Genomic DNA, 17,942 nt, shown 5'->3' with positions numbered 1-17,942 from the left:
GATGTGGAGAAATAGGAACACTTTTACACTGTTGGTGGGACTGTAAACTAGTTCAACCATTGTGGAAGACAGTGTGGCAATTCCTCAGGGATCTAGAATTAGAAATACCATTTGACCCAGCCATCCCATTACTGGGTATATACCCAAAGGACTATAAATCATGCTGCTATAAAGACACATGCACACGTGGTTTATTGCGGCACTATTCATAATAGCAAAGACTTGGAACCAACCCAAATGTCCAACAATGATAGACTGGATTAAAAAAATGTGGCACATACACACCATGGAATACTATGCAGCCATAAAAAAATGATGAGTTTATGTCCTTTGTGGGGACATGGATGAAACTGGAAATCATCATTCTCAGCAAACCATCGCAAGGACAAAAAACCAAACACTGCATGTTCTCACTCATAGGTGGGAATTGAACAACGAGAACACATGGACACAGGAAGGGGAACATCACACTCCAGGGACTGTTGTGGGGTGGGGGGAGGGGGGAGGGATAGCATTAGGAGATATACCTAATGCTAAATGACGAGTTAATGGGTGCAGTACACCAACATGGCACATGTATACACATGTAACAAACCTGCACATTTTGCACATGTACCCTAAAACTTAAAGTATAATAATAATAAAATAAAATAAAAAAGAAAATGAGTTTTAATGAGAGGTTAAATAATTTGAAATAATTTTTCTTTGGAATATTAATTAAAATTTCTGAAAGTTTCTGGGCAGATATTTTAGGAACCTGGTATTAGTGTTTAAGTATCTCAGGAATACACTTCTGAATGAATTTAAAATTAAACTTTGGGCCAGGTGCGGTGGCTCCCGCCTGTAATCCCACCACTTTGGGAGGCCGAGGCAGGCAGATCACAAGGTCAGGAGATGGAGACCATCCTGGCCAACATGGTGAAACCCCGTCTCTACTAAAAATACAAAAATTAGCTGGGCGTGGTGGTTCGTGCCTGTAATCCCACCTACTTGGGAGCCTGAGGCAGGAGAACCGCTTGAACCAGGGAGTTGAAGGTTGCAGTGAGCCGAGATCGCGCCACTGTGCTCCAGCCTGGTGACAGAGCAAACTCCGTCTCAAAATAAAAGAAAAAAAAATTAAACTTTGGCTATGCTACATGTCATTAATAAAACACATCTTGTCCAGCTAAGCATTTTTAAAATTTTACGTGCAAAACACACACACATACATACCCAAAAATTGTTGGCAAAAATCCAGGGAATCAGACAGAGTTATTTTTCTCCCAAAATCTAACTCTGCTTTAAAAAATAAACACAGAGATATCAGCCTTCTAATCTCATACTCAAAGGATTTATCTTTTTCAAGCCAAAGATATTTGGAAATTAAGTTGAAGTTGGATATATAAGCTAGTTCTATACTTAAAGGGTATATGGATAACAGAATCTAAGGGTATTGTCATTTTCTTATAAATGGCTTTATTTTTACCAGAAATTAATGTTCTTTGTAACTCTAATAACATACATTAACAAAATGAAGAAAACTAAAATTACCTACAAATCTCATGACCCAGAGTAAATCGTTAATGTTTAAAAAATTATCCTTCTACTCTTGTTTCTAAAAATTAAATGTATTTTTTAAATTACTTTATACTTTATTGTGCTATCATTTATTAAATATTTATTGTCCATCTTATTAAATTTCATCCCACAATGTTATTGTAAATAATTATATGCATAGTTTAATACATGAGTATTCAATTATTTGATATAGAATTCTATGATGAATATCTTGAGTTATTATTTTCTCAATGAAATATTTCAGAAACCAAAAAGCATTTCTAAATTATACTCCAGAAATGCTGCACATACCCAGCAGCAGAATATGAAAGTGCTTTTTTCCAAATATCCTCATCTACATTGAGTATTAACATAATTTTAATCTTTAGAAATTTAATAGGTAAAAAATGATGTCCAATTATTTTTTGTGTATGTATATATGTGTGTGTTTGTGTGGATACATACATATATATACATTTCCTTGAAATATATATATTTTTTTGATCACTAGTGAGACTATATAGTTTTATGTTTATTTATCATTTCCATTTCTTCTTTTGAGAATTTCTTGTCCATATTCCTTATCCAATCATTGCCTCTCTTTTATTGATTTCTAAGTGTAATTACATATTGAAGAATTTAAGTCCTTGCCCACTGACTCTCCAGCTAACACACTTTTCCTGCTTTGTTATCTACCTCTCACTTCTGTTCATGGAGTTTAGAACTATGAAAGTTTCAAACGTTTAGGATTTGAAATCTATTAAACTTTAGTCATTTTTACTTCTGTATTCTACCTTCTGCTTAGAAAATCTTTGCATAGCCCAGTTTTTAAACTTTCACTTATATTTTCTTTAAAATTTATATCATTTATCTCGGTACATTTAAGTTTTTAATTTCTCAAGAAATTGTTTTAATGTGTAATGAAAGTTTTATTAGACCTAATTATTTTGCTTCCAAGTAAATAACTGGTTGGCCCCCTCTAAAAAAAATATTGAATAATTTTTCCTGTCACCATGGCAATTAAATGGTGCTTTTACTTTACTAAATTCTTACATGCATTTGTGTCTGTCACTAGACTTTCTATTCTGTTCTATTGATCTCTTTAACTGTACCTAGACAAATTTTATACCCTTATGTTTAGCTATTATCTGGTCTTTAATAATGAAGCACAACTTAGATTGTGTTCTATTCGATTTGGGAATAAAGTGATATCTATTGCTTCCTTTTTATTTTCTCATCAACCAGTGAGATTATCTATAAATATAATTTTTTATTTCTGCATTTCTAAGATTTTATTAAATTTTTTTCTAATTTTATAAGATTAAAATCAGAGAACACTTTTAAGATGTCTGCTAAATCTCTACTTTTTTGAATTTTAAAATTTTCTTTGTGGCTAAATATATTAACAATTTTTATAATTTTTGCATAGATAAAAAAGTATTTTCTCTGAAATAAGGATGATATTAATTGTATTCTTTATCTATATTCTTATTTCTAAAATGGGTATATTGAAGTCTCCCACTAAAACAGTGTTTATGTTTTCATCTTCTACTTGAATTTCCAATTGTTCTTATATATTTATTCGTCTCCTGTATTACTTGGTGTATAGAAGGTTTTGATAGCTAAATCTTCCTCAAAAATTGTGCCTTTTATCATGTAATGTCTTATTTTCTAGGTTTAGTGCCATTAACATTAAATTCTACCTTTTTAAAATTAATATTCCAGTTTGGCTTCTTTTTGTTTGCATTTGTCTGGTCTTTTTTTGTTAATTCTTTTATATTCAACCAGTTATTTTAAGGGTGTTTCTTATATAAATCATGTGACTAAGTTGTAATTTTTAACACAACCTGATAGTCTCTCTTTCAATGACAGAACATAGTGCATTTATATTTAGTAAAATAACATATATTTGATCTTATTTCTTCCAACTTTCCTTATGCTTAATATTAATTTCCATTAAAGTTGCCACTTTTTCCCATTCCTTTTTCTCTGGTAAAATCGAATTGCTGTTTCTTCCACTTTTTCTCTTATTAATTTGGAATTTCTTCCATATTTTCCTGTTAGAAACACCTTTCATTTGTCTGTTCTAAATCAGATACATTTGTCTTTACTGATATTTGAAATAAACTTATAAACATGTTCCATTTTTCTCCCTTCTTCCCTCTCATCCCAATAAAATGATATTTTTGGACCACTTCCTGTGCTCTGTCCTGGCCCACTGCTATGAGACCTTTGGAATATTTTTACTCTGCCCCTTCCAGTCCAATTCTTGTCTTTGCTGAGATATTTACTAGATTTTAATACTTTTTGTCCTAGACTACTAGAAGATTTCTTGTGGTAGGTTCCTTCTGTCTTAGAAATCCCAATTTGGCACTTGTGTAATATATTTCCAGATAATTTATTTTCTGTATAATAGATAATTTAAACTGATTCTCACTGTTTTCTGTCTTCTTCAATTTCCTGTATTTTAGTTTCTGATATGGTTCATTTCTTGTTTGATTATAACCTTTCAACAAGATGTTTTCTGAGAATAAACATATTGCAAATAGCATAGGCTCCTTATATAAAGCCAAATGATGCTTCTTAATGGGGGTATGTCATACCTGATTAAATGAGATTTGTGTGGAGTCAGTTGCACAATCAGTTTGTCCAATTGTATCCTGGTTAAAAGAAGGACAGATTCTTACTGAGCCTATACAAACAGTTTTATTACTATTGAACAAATAACACTCAGTAGAATTATTTCTGAATTCTGAAGTCAATGTGAATCAGATATCATTAAAATATTTTATTTCTGTTTAAGAAGCAAAGTTTCCTAAATTGAAAGCTAGTGAAAGCTTAAGAGTTTCCTCATATACCCATTAAAAATGAAACATTAAAAATAACATCAACAATATTTCAAATAAATAACCATAATTTAACTTTCCCTATCAATTAATTTAGTCCTATGTAGATCATTCTTGTTCCACTACATGTTGGGCCAAATAGTCTACCTTTTGCTTTCATCAAGCGTATCTGCTATAGGGCTAACAAAAGTCCTGGAATTCCTAACTCAGTCCACTGGTAAAAATCTAAAACTTGTCTAAGCAAAGAGAGTTCTGAAGCATATATCCAAGTATCTATTCTTTAAAGTGTAAACACTTTAGAGTACCTGGTAGCATTCATCCCATGAGGCCCTGAAACTGCCTTTCTTTGTGTAAAAAAAAAAAAAAAAAAATTAAACTCATCTGTAGCTTATAGAATAGCCTTCAGGCAAATATCTAAGGGAGGCTGACAGTTGTTTAATAATAAAACAATGACAGTGGTCAATTTATTATAGTGACTAAGAATATCAGAATGAAGGAAAGTCATATTCTCTTTTGGGATACAGTACATAACTATTTCATAAGGGTTTGATCAATGTTTTTCCTGAGGATAAGAATAAAGAGTACTGATAAATCTCAGAGGCCTCCCATAAAACATGCAGTTTCTAAAATATTTATATTAATAACATTTTACCTATGCAAACTTAACAAAGAAAGATTGAACATGCATGTCTTCTGATTTGACAATTTTTCCTATATAGCTCTTACAATAGTGTCAAGGTAATTGTAAAATATGGAACATACTGAACATTTATTTCCAGCATTTCTCTTCATAAGGTAAAATAATAAATCTTTGTGATTTTCCAGGGTCCCTTGGGCAACTCACAAGAATAGATTTAGAATAAAAGACAACCTAGTTTTCTAATTTTAGGATCTGAATTTGAGAAGGCAAAATCAAAAGTTGTTGGAGATTTGGTTACTTGACTAAGATAGCATGATGAATCCTGAGAAATAGTACTTGGTTGTTTATTTAATCAAAGTGACAATAAAATATTTTAAAATAACAGCAAACAAGTTAAATTATTGTAAGAAACTAGTTCTTTCACAAGTCAGGAACATTTGTTCTTTATTTTTGCTCTTTTAAAAAATAATAAGGGCCGGGTGCGGTGGCTCACGCCTGTAATCCCAGCACTTTGGGAGGCCAAGATGGGCGGATCAGGAGGTCAGGAGATTGAGACCATCCTGGCTAACATGGTGAAACCCCATCTCTACTAAAAATACAAAAAATTAGCTGGGCGTGGTGGCGGGCGCCTGTAGTCCCAGCTACTCAGGAGGCTGAGGCAGGAGAAAGGCGTGAACCCGGAAGGCGGAGCTTGCAGTGAGCCGAGATTGCGCCACTGCACTCCAGCCTGGGCGACAGAGCAAGATTCCATCTCAAAATAATAATAATAATAATAATTAAGGACATTATAAAACCCAACATAAAGCAGAGAAAATTATTCTGATGAGATATGGAGTCTCTGCTATAGGAATAGATTTCACAGAGGGTGCAGAATAACATTTTATATACCTTACTAAAAGTTCTAAGATTATCATTTTTAACAGAGAGAAAGATGAATTCTAGTTTTTAATTAATATATTTGGCAGTAAAAGATTCACAAGCCCTTTTTCATTCCTTACATTATCTGGTGAATAAACCTATCAAAACCAAACTGCCAAAATTTTAATATATTTTATAGCTTCTTTTCCATTTCAGTTATTATAATTCAAGGCAAATAAAATTCATATCCTTCAAACCCTCTATAACTTGCTATACAGAATCAGATTTTGTCCTTCACTGTGCTCTCATTTTCTGGAACAAACTGACACTAATATAGGAGAAAATCATTCCCCTTTTTCCTTGAAAAACAAAAGCACATACCCACTTGTATTTCCTCTCTATGGCTCCTAGTATAGTCTCAACCAGTCACATTAATTCAACTTTTAACTAAAACTATAATTTCTATTTCACAGCACAAACTAGAAACTAGAAAGTTGACAAATACATCATAATTAGGAATTTTACCAGTACAATAAAACTAATGAATACTGATAACAAAAATTTCTCCTGCTACACATATCACTTTACGCCCTCACAAAGTAGCAAAAATAAAATATTCATTTCTGTATTATTCTGAATATCCTGTTTAGTCTGTTTGTGTTGCTATAACAGAATACCTGAGGCTGGGTAATTTATAAAGAAAAGAGGTATTTTGGCTCATGGTTCTGCAGGCTGTACAGGAAGTGTGGTGCCAGCATCTGCTTCTGGTGAAAGCCTCAGGAAGTTTCCAATCATGGCGGAAGGCGAAGGGGAACCAGCATGTCACATGGTGAGACAGGGAGCAAGAGAGAGGGGGAGCAAACAAGAAAGGAAGAAGACAGGGAGTGGGAGGTGCCAGGCTCTTCTAAACAACCAGTTCTCACATAAAGTCATAGAACAAGAACTCATTACCAGGAGGATGGCACCAAGCCATTCATAAAGGATCCACCCTCATGATTCTAACACCTCCCACCAGGCCCCACCTCCAACAGTGGGGATCACATTTCAACATGAGATTTGAAGGAGACAAAACATCCAAACCATATCATAGCCCAAAGATATACCCACTATATAGTGTATCACAGTTAGATGCGAAATTATATGAACTTGAAATTATGTATAGTAATCAACATTTCAGTACCAATACTATATATGAATTATCTTGGTATCTACTGATTATACTTTAATTAACATAATTTATAAAATTCCAAAGTTTTAAGTTACCTAAGAATTTTGAAAATTATGTTCAAATTGACACACTACAGAACATAACTACTGCTGTAAAAATGTCAGAATTATGAAGACAAATTTACAGTTTTATCATCTTGAGCGTTATATAACTATAATGTTTATTTGATCTGTAAGACAATGTAAGAAGTTTAGAATGTTCATATATTAACTAATCTCCTTATGAGAAACATACTTAAATCATGTTTACAAAGGAAACTAAAAAGATGGCTATGCTATACTGAACGCTAGTAAATCACAGAAAATTATAGAAGCAGTCTAATTCATCCAAACATTCCCTTAATTTTGTGAGCCTGGATTCTTAAAATATTTCTGTGATACAAGTTTCTGTAAGAAGAATTGCTTTCACACATTTAAAGTATTAAAGATTCGGGGTTTTTGTGAATTCTTGGAATACTTGATTTATATAAGGACTTGTTTATCTTGAAAAAGCAATCAGAACAGATCTCCTTTAATTTAATGGACATTAGACCTAATTTTTAAATACTCTCCAGAAGTAAGAAAATGCTGCCCATTCATACACAAGAGGTAAAGGCTTTTTGGAATTACAAACAAATAATTTTTAGCCCAAGTATACAACTTCAGCTGCAGGTCCAAAGTAAGACCAGAAACATAAAAACTCACTAGTCTAGATCGCAAGAGCTGTTGCCCTTCCATAATGGTCACAGAGTATTTTTCAATCGATTAGAGTTCACAAATAGGCAAACAGAAAAAGATTAACAAATCAAATCCTGTCATCTCTCACCCTTCAGAGACTAGATCTCCATCATCCATTGGACAGAGATCACCAGTGGTCAGACCATAAAACACAATTCCCAATCATTGCTGCCACCAATGGGGAATGACTACTGCCCATTCAGGAACCAGAAAAAGCAAAAGCACAAAATCAATATAAAGAGAGAGGAAAAAAATAATAGAGGAACAGAGCATTGGCAAACTTTAGTTGCTGCTGAGGATCTACTTTAAGGGGCAAGAAAAGACGAACTTGAGCATACACAGCCCACGAGCTACACTTATCCAGAAATACAGCACCCTCTTGAGTGCGCTTGGGTGTTCTAGTGATTTCTCTCCAAAACTTAAAAAAGTCATTTTCAAAAAGACAACACCATGATTCTCATTCAATATAAAATGAATGTTTGCCAATAATTTTACCTCATTAAAAAATGAGGAAACCAGTAAAATGTTAACAAAAGGTTCAAAGACGATTAAAGAAGGTAAGTATATACAGGTAATTTGATAAAGGAATGATAAGATAAAATCACTAGGTTAAATACAAAACTTTTTAGTGTCTTAGGGCCATGAGCTGTATCCTTTTGTTCCACTAAACAGAAATTATTTTCATCTCTAGAGCACAAAAATCTAGACATTAACCTCTACCACTGCAGGCTTCTGCCACCACACACTTTAAACAATTCAGTCAATAAAAAGTCAAGCCCAGACCTGCATGGGAAATAGCACTGAACAATCTCTTTTATCAATTTCAAACTTTTGGATAATTTTTGTCCTGACAGAGCTCAAGAGTTTTTACCTGCCTCAGTATGTCTCTATTAATGCACCCTACTGGAATCTGTGAGCCCTTTCTGTGTGTAGATTTAGATCTTCAGAGCTTCCTTCAAATCACAGACATTTCTTGCTATTGTTTAATTACTGACATTCCTTCTCCCGTTCCTCTCTATTTTTGGAATTCCTACAATGAGTATAGTGAGTCTTATGGAGCTAATCTTATCTTCTCCATAATGACTTCCATCTTTTGATATGTTTTCACAAATTTCTATTTCAAAAGTGACCTTCCTTTCCAAATCAGCCAGCGAAATCACTAGGATAATCTTTGATTACAGAAACTCTTATTTGGTTATATTTAAATCTCCTTAAATGCTCTGATTATGTCTTTTGCTTCAGTTGTATTCCATCTCCTCCTGCAACCCTATTTTACCAAGTATGTGTCCTATTTGTACTGACTACTCACCTTTCTTCTACTGAGTCTTTTAGGTAAGTTGTCTTTTTATTATTGTTATTGTTGTTGACTCATTGAAGATAACATCTGACAGTCTCTCTGCCCCTTATGAGAAGGACTCAATCCACACATATTCAGCTGATTTTTGGCCTATAGGGGTTAGAAAATCTAATATATTTATATAAAGTCACTGTCGATCCCTGCAAGGTGTAGTGAGCATACATCTGTATAAAACAAGCTCTTTCCAAGAACCTCTGTCTTCACCCCAAGGGTCTCTAGTGCTGCTTGCCAAGTTCTTACCCAGCGCACAGAGAAGAAAGTCTCCACCAGCCCTCCTCACCAGAATTCCCACCTTGCCTAGGGCCACACTCGGATTTAGCTACCCATCAGTCCCACCAACCATATGGCTCAGCAAAGGCAAATAGGTTGGAGTTGAGAGTGAAAGAAAAGGAAATCACCATCTTTCAGAATGCTCCACCAGGTATAACTTCAAATTCTCCTTACATCTATGTTGTCTGAGGCCCACTGAAACTGCGGCTTGTTAGCCACGTTGTGTGCAGCCATGGGGTAGAAAGGTGGGGGGACCTGAGGTTGGAAGTTGTCTTAAAGTGGGATGTATGTGAAAAGTAAGCTGTTTAACTAGGAAGGCTAAATTATATCTTCATTTAACTTGAAATAAGCAAAGTGATCATGTGCAGACTCCCAACATTGCCAAATCTCGGGCTGGCATTAGCACTGAGTTACCCTGTCTACCAGTTGTTTATCATTCAAATAACTTATTCATCTGGGTTCTTTATTTTTATGTAATTCCTATACTTCAGAGGGTAGCATATTTAAAGAACAGGTCAAGTCTAAAGCAATACTGAGCCACAATTGAGTTCTTGGTGAAGATGGAAAGTTAAAACTCTGGCTTCCAGATCATGGAGACATTGTTTTGCATTTGTTATCTTGAAGTTATTATGTATCATTTTTGTTTTTTCTCATGTTGCAACTGCTGCAACAAAATGGACCTTGGGCTGCCTCCCAATGGGGAGGTCCCCATCCTGGGAAGGCCCAGATGTGGGTGCCTTAGACTAGCATTTCTCTAGGCCTTGTAGCAAACTGTTCTCTTCTCTGACTTTGGTACAGTCTACTTGGGTTGTCTTTCCTCTTCTCACCACAGACTGGTGAAATCCAGACAGCTGATACTAGTGTGAGGGCTTAGGAGCAGACACCAAAGAAGACTCTATGGCTGTTTTGTAGTGGTCATTGTGGTTGTTAGTGTTTGTTATTGTTTGTTTCAACCACTTAGGTCTGGCTACTGTAGACCAAAAATACTGGGTGACATACTGTGGTATACAGCTCAGCTCACAGGGTGACTAAATTTAAGTTTGGAATTAAAACTCTGGCTACTATAGTCTATCTTTACTTGAATCTCTTACATATCACCCTTGCAATCCAATGCAGTTAAGAGACTGATCACTAACGATCCTCTACTTGAGATAATGGGCCCAGCTTTGTAAAGGTGGAGAATGATACATCCTTTAGGATTACATGTGGCAGCTCTAGTAGCCCTAAAAAGGCTTTATGGCTTCATAAAGAAGAGACAAAATTGAAGCACTGTCAATATTGTTAGGACCTTGAAATAGATTCAGATATTCTCCTGCCTTGTTCCTATTTGATGTCCATAATTATTCACAGATGCAATAAGAAAACAGACCTAGGTGAATATTTAAACAGTAGCCTGATTCTGCCTTTTTCCTTTATGAACAGAAAACATTGCTTAAATTTTTATTTTCATAGATTTGCATCTTTAATCTTTTTCCTGTTTATTAAATATAAAAACATAGGAAGAATATTAAATCAACCATGGTCTCAGTAACTAGAGGTAACCTCTATATCATTTTTGCTGAATTGATTTTCAGTCTATAATATGTATAAAATAAGTTCAGTCACATCTATATACTCATTGTATTCAGTGATTTGGACAGTGTATGACTAGTTTTTAATGAATATAATCAAGCTTTTTCAAAATCATATTTGCTTATTTTTTTCTAAAAAGGAAAATAAATATTTTCCTATTATGTAAACTTTCAAATTCAGCATTTTGCTGAATTTTCAGTCTATAATATATATCCAATAAGTTCAGTCATATTATATATACTTATTTTTTTCAGTGATTTGGACAGTGTAGAGCTAGTTTTTAATAGATATAATCTTTTTTCAAATTTGAACTTACATTAATTATAAAGCCCAATAGTAGTATAAGCATTTGTTTAACATCCTTTTACTTTCCAATCCTTGCCAGTACAACCTGAGAATATGCACCTAAAATATAATTGAATTGTTTCTCATCCTGTCCTCTCTTTTATTTTTTATTCTTCTACTTCATTTGGGTACCAATTTATAACAATTACTTGGGCTTCACACTACACACAAGTCTGGCATCAGTGTTCTGTGGTCCTTTAGGACCAATCTAAATTTTATGCCCTTACAAGTAAGCTGCTTTTTTTTTCCTTCTTGCTTGAAAACTTTCAATTGTTTTTATACTGGAAAATCACATTTTCACCAGCATATGCTGCTCCTCATTTTATTCATTTTGCCTGGAACATTTTCCTCAGTCTGTAGTCGGGTATTTTTTCAGATTTCAGAAACTTTTCTTTATATGTCTTTAATTATTAATTTAATTATAATTTCTAGTCTATTCATTCAGTTTCATTCTCAAGGCTGCCAATTATTCATAGCTTCATATTCTATTTCCCATATCTATCATCTTATTTCTTATATTTTTTCCTTCATTATATAAAACATTCTGCCCTAACTGTCCCCAGTGTGGATCTTCATTCCGCAATGGAGTTTAATTTCTATGACTTCTTTTCTTAATATTGGCAGTTTTTTTTATCTTTATCAGCTTCCTTTTTAAATACTCTTTTACAGATAACCTTTTTATCTTTTAATAACTCAAAGCAGGTGCATTCTTAATTTCCTTCTTTTACCATGATGAACTTTCACGCATATTTTTTAACAGTACTTTGTAGCAGTGGGTCCCTACTTTTATGTTATATGGAGCTTTTTAAAGGATTTCATTTGGTGTTTTTTTCCTTGTTTATGCATCTTTGAACAAGGAGAAATTTTAACCACATCTGGTGATTGCCAGATAGGAAAAGCAGTCATCCCTTTACTCCTACCCAGTGTCCCTGTCTCAAGCCTTTGACTGAATATGGATGAACATAGCCCCTCTAGATGTTTGTCTGAGAGACTTCATGAGACCTGGTCTTAATGTCAGACCGTTACTAGAAATTGCATTGATCTCTAGATAACGATCCTATACACGTCTTTTTATGTGCACCCAGAGTATTTCTCTAGATAGATAAATAGATAGATCTATAGATAGTTCTGTATATCAATATAGCTATATTAATATTGGTATATCTATAGATCTAGGTAGATAGATATGTGACAGATAGAATCTAGATCTATCTGTGTGTCTGTGCATCTATGTGTAAGTATAAAAAACCTGTATATTGAACAAGCATGATTTATGATGTACTAAAAAGACAACAGTCCCACACTATTCCTTTGGTTTGGTGTTTTGTTTTTTCCTATTTAATGTAAACTTTTAAATTGAAATATAATATACAGAGAAAAGTTTACAAATCTTAAATATGCACCTTGAATTTTTACGTAGTATCCTTGTACCCAACAATAAGATGAAAACTAAAACATTATCAGCACTTCAGCCACCCTCTTTGTGCCTCTTTCCAATAATTTATTGTTCTCAAAAGTAATTACTACTCTGCCTTATATCACCACAGATTAGTTTTACCTATTTTTGAACGTTATATAAATGGAATTATATTTTATGTATCCTTTTGTGTCTAGCTTCCTTTGTTCCAGATTATGTTTTTGAGATCCGTTCATGTTATAAACGGCCAGAAATGTTCATTCTCATTGCTCTATAGTATTTCACTCTATGAATATGTCACAATTTATTTACCTTTCTTCCTGTTGGTATACATTTGGTTTGTGTTCAGTTTGGAGCTATAAACGTGTCTTTTGGCGCATATATACTGAGTTTTAAAGTATGTTTATATACAACTCTGGCAGCTTTTGCCAAACAGTTTTCTAAGCAGTGCATGAAAGCTTCACTTGCTCCAAATCCGAACTTTTAGTATTGTCAATTTTTTAAAATGTATCCATTCTTGTAGGTGTCTAGTGATATTTTCCTGTTTCACGTGCTTATTGGCCTTTTAAATATCCTCTTCTGTGAAGTGTCTGTTCAAGGACTTTCCTATTTTTTATTAGGTTGTTTGTCTTTTTCTCATTGATTTGTAGAAGTTCTTTATATATTATGGGCATTAATCCGTCATCAGATATATGTATTGCAAAATACCTTCTTCTACTCTATGGCTTACCTTTCCATTCTCTTACTAATTACATTTCTACAGCAATAAAGAGCAGTCTCCTCTACCTCATTTATTTCTTTATATAAGTATGGATGCATGAGTTTTTATCTTATTCTATATGGGTTATAATCCATTATTCTCATTATATATTTTGTTGGTTAAAGTCCCTTAGATTTGTCCATTGGGAGATCCTTGTGGCATATCCTTGTCTTTTTCATGCTTCATTTGCTTTTAGTGCCATAAGATGTTTCATGCTTTCTGTATTTTTCCTGCTCTAGACCTGAACACAATGATTTCTCCAAAGAGCCCTGTTCCATTTGTAATGGATAATGGTACTTAGAAACCAAGATCTAGGTCCTTGCTGTGCTCATTGCTACTAGGGAATAATTGGCTCTAGGCCCTCACTAAATACATAGCTAAATAATGTGTGTGTGTGTGTGTGTGTGTGTACTCACACATCTAAATTTATTTCTGTATCTGTCCAACTGTGTGTACACATATATTTAAAATCATAAACTCATATTACTCTCTGATATCTTGGTTTGCAATCACTTTAGCTTCCTCAGATATGCCTGTGACACAGTCCTCCCTGTCTTCCAGCTACAAAGAACACATTTCAAACACCTTGTGCAGTTCCCTTGAACCTCCCTCTCTAGATGCAGGGTTAGAAGGTGACAGCCCCCACCCCCCGCGACCCACCCCAAATGGGAAAGGAACTTATACCTGTCTCACAGTCCAATTCAGAGAAAACTCCTCACTAACTTCTTTGCAAAATCCTCTCTGAGGAGCCCAGAAGCTTGAAACACCTTCTTGGTTCCATTTGCCTTGTAAACCTGCCTCTCACTCTTCCTATCTGGCATACTGGTACTCAAACACTGAGGCACAAAAAGCGCCCCAAGCTAATAGTTTACATGCATTCTATAGATTTTCTCCAGGTTCTGACTAGGGAAAAGGAATAGCTTTCAACACATTAGAAAGTGATCGTGGGGCAGTATGGGGAAGACTTTTCTAAATTCTAGCAGTTAGTTAAGATAGGACACAGCAAAAGGGATGGGTGGTTACCTTTTCCCACTATTTCCTTGTTGGTAATACGTAGATCAAGGTTCCTGATCAACCACATGACAGTTAGAAGCAATTCCCCAAGATGTTGCTAAGTCAAAAAAGTATTTTTACATTTTCCATGACACTATGCCTCTGCAACTCCATGTACTTTTGTGAGTATCTTAATGCAAAGGTTAGAGGGTGAATCAGATGTCACTGGTTGGTCATCACCACACATTAGAAATCTTTGTATGTGTTTTAGATTTTGTAAGGTTGTTTTAAGTTATTTTTAGTAGAATCTTTAATGTGGAAGAGCATTAAAAGAAGATGAAAATACATCAAAAGTATGCATAAATTTTGGTCTGTCCTGGGTAATTTGATCAAACAAAATGTATAGCTGCTCTAATTTCTATAAATGATTTCCTATAACTTTAAAAATTAAAATAATAGCCAGTTGACTCAATACTGCACCAGAATTTTGGGGATAGGTTTCAATGAGTATAGGCAGCTAGTTCTGGATGGAGTGTTTGGGACTATCAGGATTTGTAGAATCTCTGCTTGCTGGGACAGCTTACCAACCTTTGGAGGGGATTTTTCTGAGGGTTGTAACTGAAATAGCCCATTTCCATTCGAGCGCTAAGTAGGGTGGCAAACAAGCTTACCAGTAATAATCACAAAGACCAATAGTGATAGAAAAAAGTAAGTCTAATCTTCATCTCTCTTTAATAGACTGAGTTACTAAAGAATGAGTTTGAACTCCAATAAGTCTGATCTTCATCTCTCTTTAATAGACTGAGTTACTAAAGAGTGAGTTCAAACTCCAATAAGTCTGATCTTCATCTCTCTTTAATAGACTGAGTTACTAAAGAGTGAGTTCAAACTCCAATCTCCTTAATTTTTACCTTGATAGACTTTCTGTTCTCCCCTTTCAGTATTGTCGGTACCACATTATTTTTATCACCAATATGATGGATAAAGGGAACACTTTTCCTGACTTGAATACAGACAGGGTATATATCATGTTTCTAACTGTGTTCTTACTTGTGCAGAAGAGCAGGGCTAAAAAGCTAGAAGCCCAAAAGAGAGTTGCTAACACTTTGATGACCTGTTTACTTTCTCATGTCATCAATTATCATGGACAGTAAATCAATTGTTCTGATTGGTTTCCTACAGCACGGCATAGAATGCATTTCTTTATATATTTAGATACTGTCATTGATCATTACTCTTTAATTAGTATTGTATGGCCAGTCTCCAGCACCCAGTAAATTAGCAATGCTTCGAAAGTCAACTAGAATTCAATCTTCCTCTGTCTGTTGTTTTAAATTATTAATTCACTTACTTAACTAACATCACTAACATTTACTAACCTTTAAGCACTGTTCTAGGCTTTGTGGTCATTACATCATAATCATTCATCATCACTTTCATGATAAAATAGGAACGAATATTGTTTGAGCTAGTGTTTTACTAAATGCTGCATAAAAAGCACAATAAAATGGCATAGAGATCTACACTGGGAGGCTGAGGCTGGTGAAATGCTTAAGCCCAGGAGTTCTAGACCAGCCTGGGCAACATAATGAAACCCCATCTCTACCAACAAAATAAAAATAAAAAAAAATAAGTTGCCAGGTGTGGTGGCGCACACCTGTAGTCCCAGCTACTTGGGAGCCTGAGGCACGAGAATCACTTGAACCTGGCAGGTGGAGATTGCAGTGAGCTGAGATCACGCCACTGCACTCCAACCTGGGGGACAGAGTACGACCCTGCCTCAAAAAAAAAAAAAAAAAAAAAAGGTAAAGAAAAGGCATACAGACCTAAAAGTAGGGATAAGTGCTTCCATTTGAAAATACTAAGAAAGTTTTCATAGAGGACTAAGAGAACTTAGTATCCAAGCTTCTTTGTAAAAGTAAGTAGGTTTTAAACAGATAACATTGGAGGGTGAAGGAAGAATATTCCTAATAAATGAGATAGCATGGAAAAGTATACAAATATCCAAACAGTGACAAACAGCACAATATGACTAAGGTGTGTGGTGTACTTAAAGACAGATTTCTTCTTTATCAAAAGAAACAGTTTCGGAAATGTAGATTTGAAATAAGTCAGAGATTGCTCAGAATGACAACCTAAAAGACTTGGATTTTCCTTAGCAATCTTTCCAGTAAATAAAATAAACTTCGACATTTTATTTACTTAAAAAATTCCAACTGAAGATTTGCCAGTTTTTTCTGTCTGAATTTCTTATCTAAAGCAAAAAATTCAAAATCTACATATTTAATGTGTTACAGTATCAATCAGGTGATTTTTAAAAATAAATTGAAATTATTTTACTTTATTGCTTACATTATGTGTTAGACAGCGACACCTCATGGTAAAATATTATTTTACAGCCAAGTGTATGATCGAGGAAGAACACAGACGAAAGCCCGCGAATGGCGTCAGAAGAGTTTTCTCAGCATAGAGATTGCCCAGGATTATAGCAAGGGGTGTGATGGACTTAGCTAAGGGCAGTAAAAGAGATGGCAGGAGATTGGGAGGGACCCAACATTTCCTGAGGGAATTACTAAGTTCCAACACAGCATCAGTATTCGGAACTCTCCATGCCCATGTTCCCTGCATCTGCCAGACAATGACAAGCTCAAAATATTTCTAAGAGTAGCGTAAGAGTGAAAAATGCACATCTAGAATTTGGTTCCTGCAGGTCCCTGGGTATTAATGCATGCATACCAACAAGATAAACTCCAAATGTCTAAATGTTTGGACACCACCCATAAATGATGAAAATTTATAAGAACTGTCTTACATATATTCTTGAAGTCTTTCAAAAAACAGAGGTAATATGGCACAGTGTTATAAAAACACTTTCATTCCCATGAGGCTACTGTTCTGGTCACCACCAGTTCAAAGGCCACTGCATCATCTGTCTACAGATGGTCGTGGCTTTGTGCTAGAGGTATCTTCTCTTTTGATTACATCTTGAGAATAGAGTAGGTAATAATCCGGGCTAGGATAGTGGGGACAAACTGATTCTATTGACAAGGTTGAGTCTCTCTCATGCTCACACAACAACTCCAATAATGTTCAAAGCATACATTCTCTTGCCCACCAACCATCTACAATTGGCAAACTCAGAAAGAAAATGTTCAGTTGTTTCAATGAAAAGGGAACTTATTTCTCATTTAGGCTCTAGCTGTGTTTAATATGAAGACCTGTCTTCACTCTACATGACTGGAACTCCAACCTTTAGTGCAATGTATCTTGGACTTGAGGAGAAAACATGAAAGTCAATGCAAAACATCTCTGTCATTTAGTCTTCCACTCACATTTTCAAGTACTACTAGTACTAATAACCCTGTTTGCTTACATGATTCTAACTGGGTACATTTCACTTCAAC

The sequence above is a fragment of the Homo sapiens genome, chromosome 14, assembly GCF_000001405.40.
Source record: "Homo sapiens chromosome 14, GRCh38.p14 Primary Assembly".
Lineage (NCBI taxonomy): Eukaryota > Metazoa > Chordata > Mammalia > Primates > Hominidae > Homo > Homo sapiens.
The sequence above is the reverse complement of the archived record's forward strand: the minus strand, read 5'-3'. Positions refer to the sequence as shown.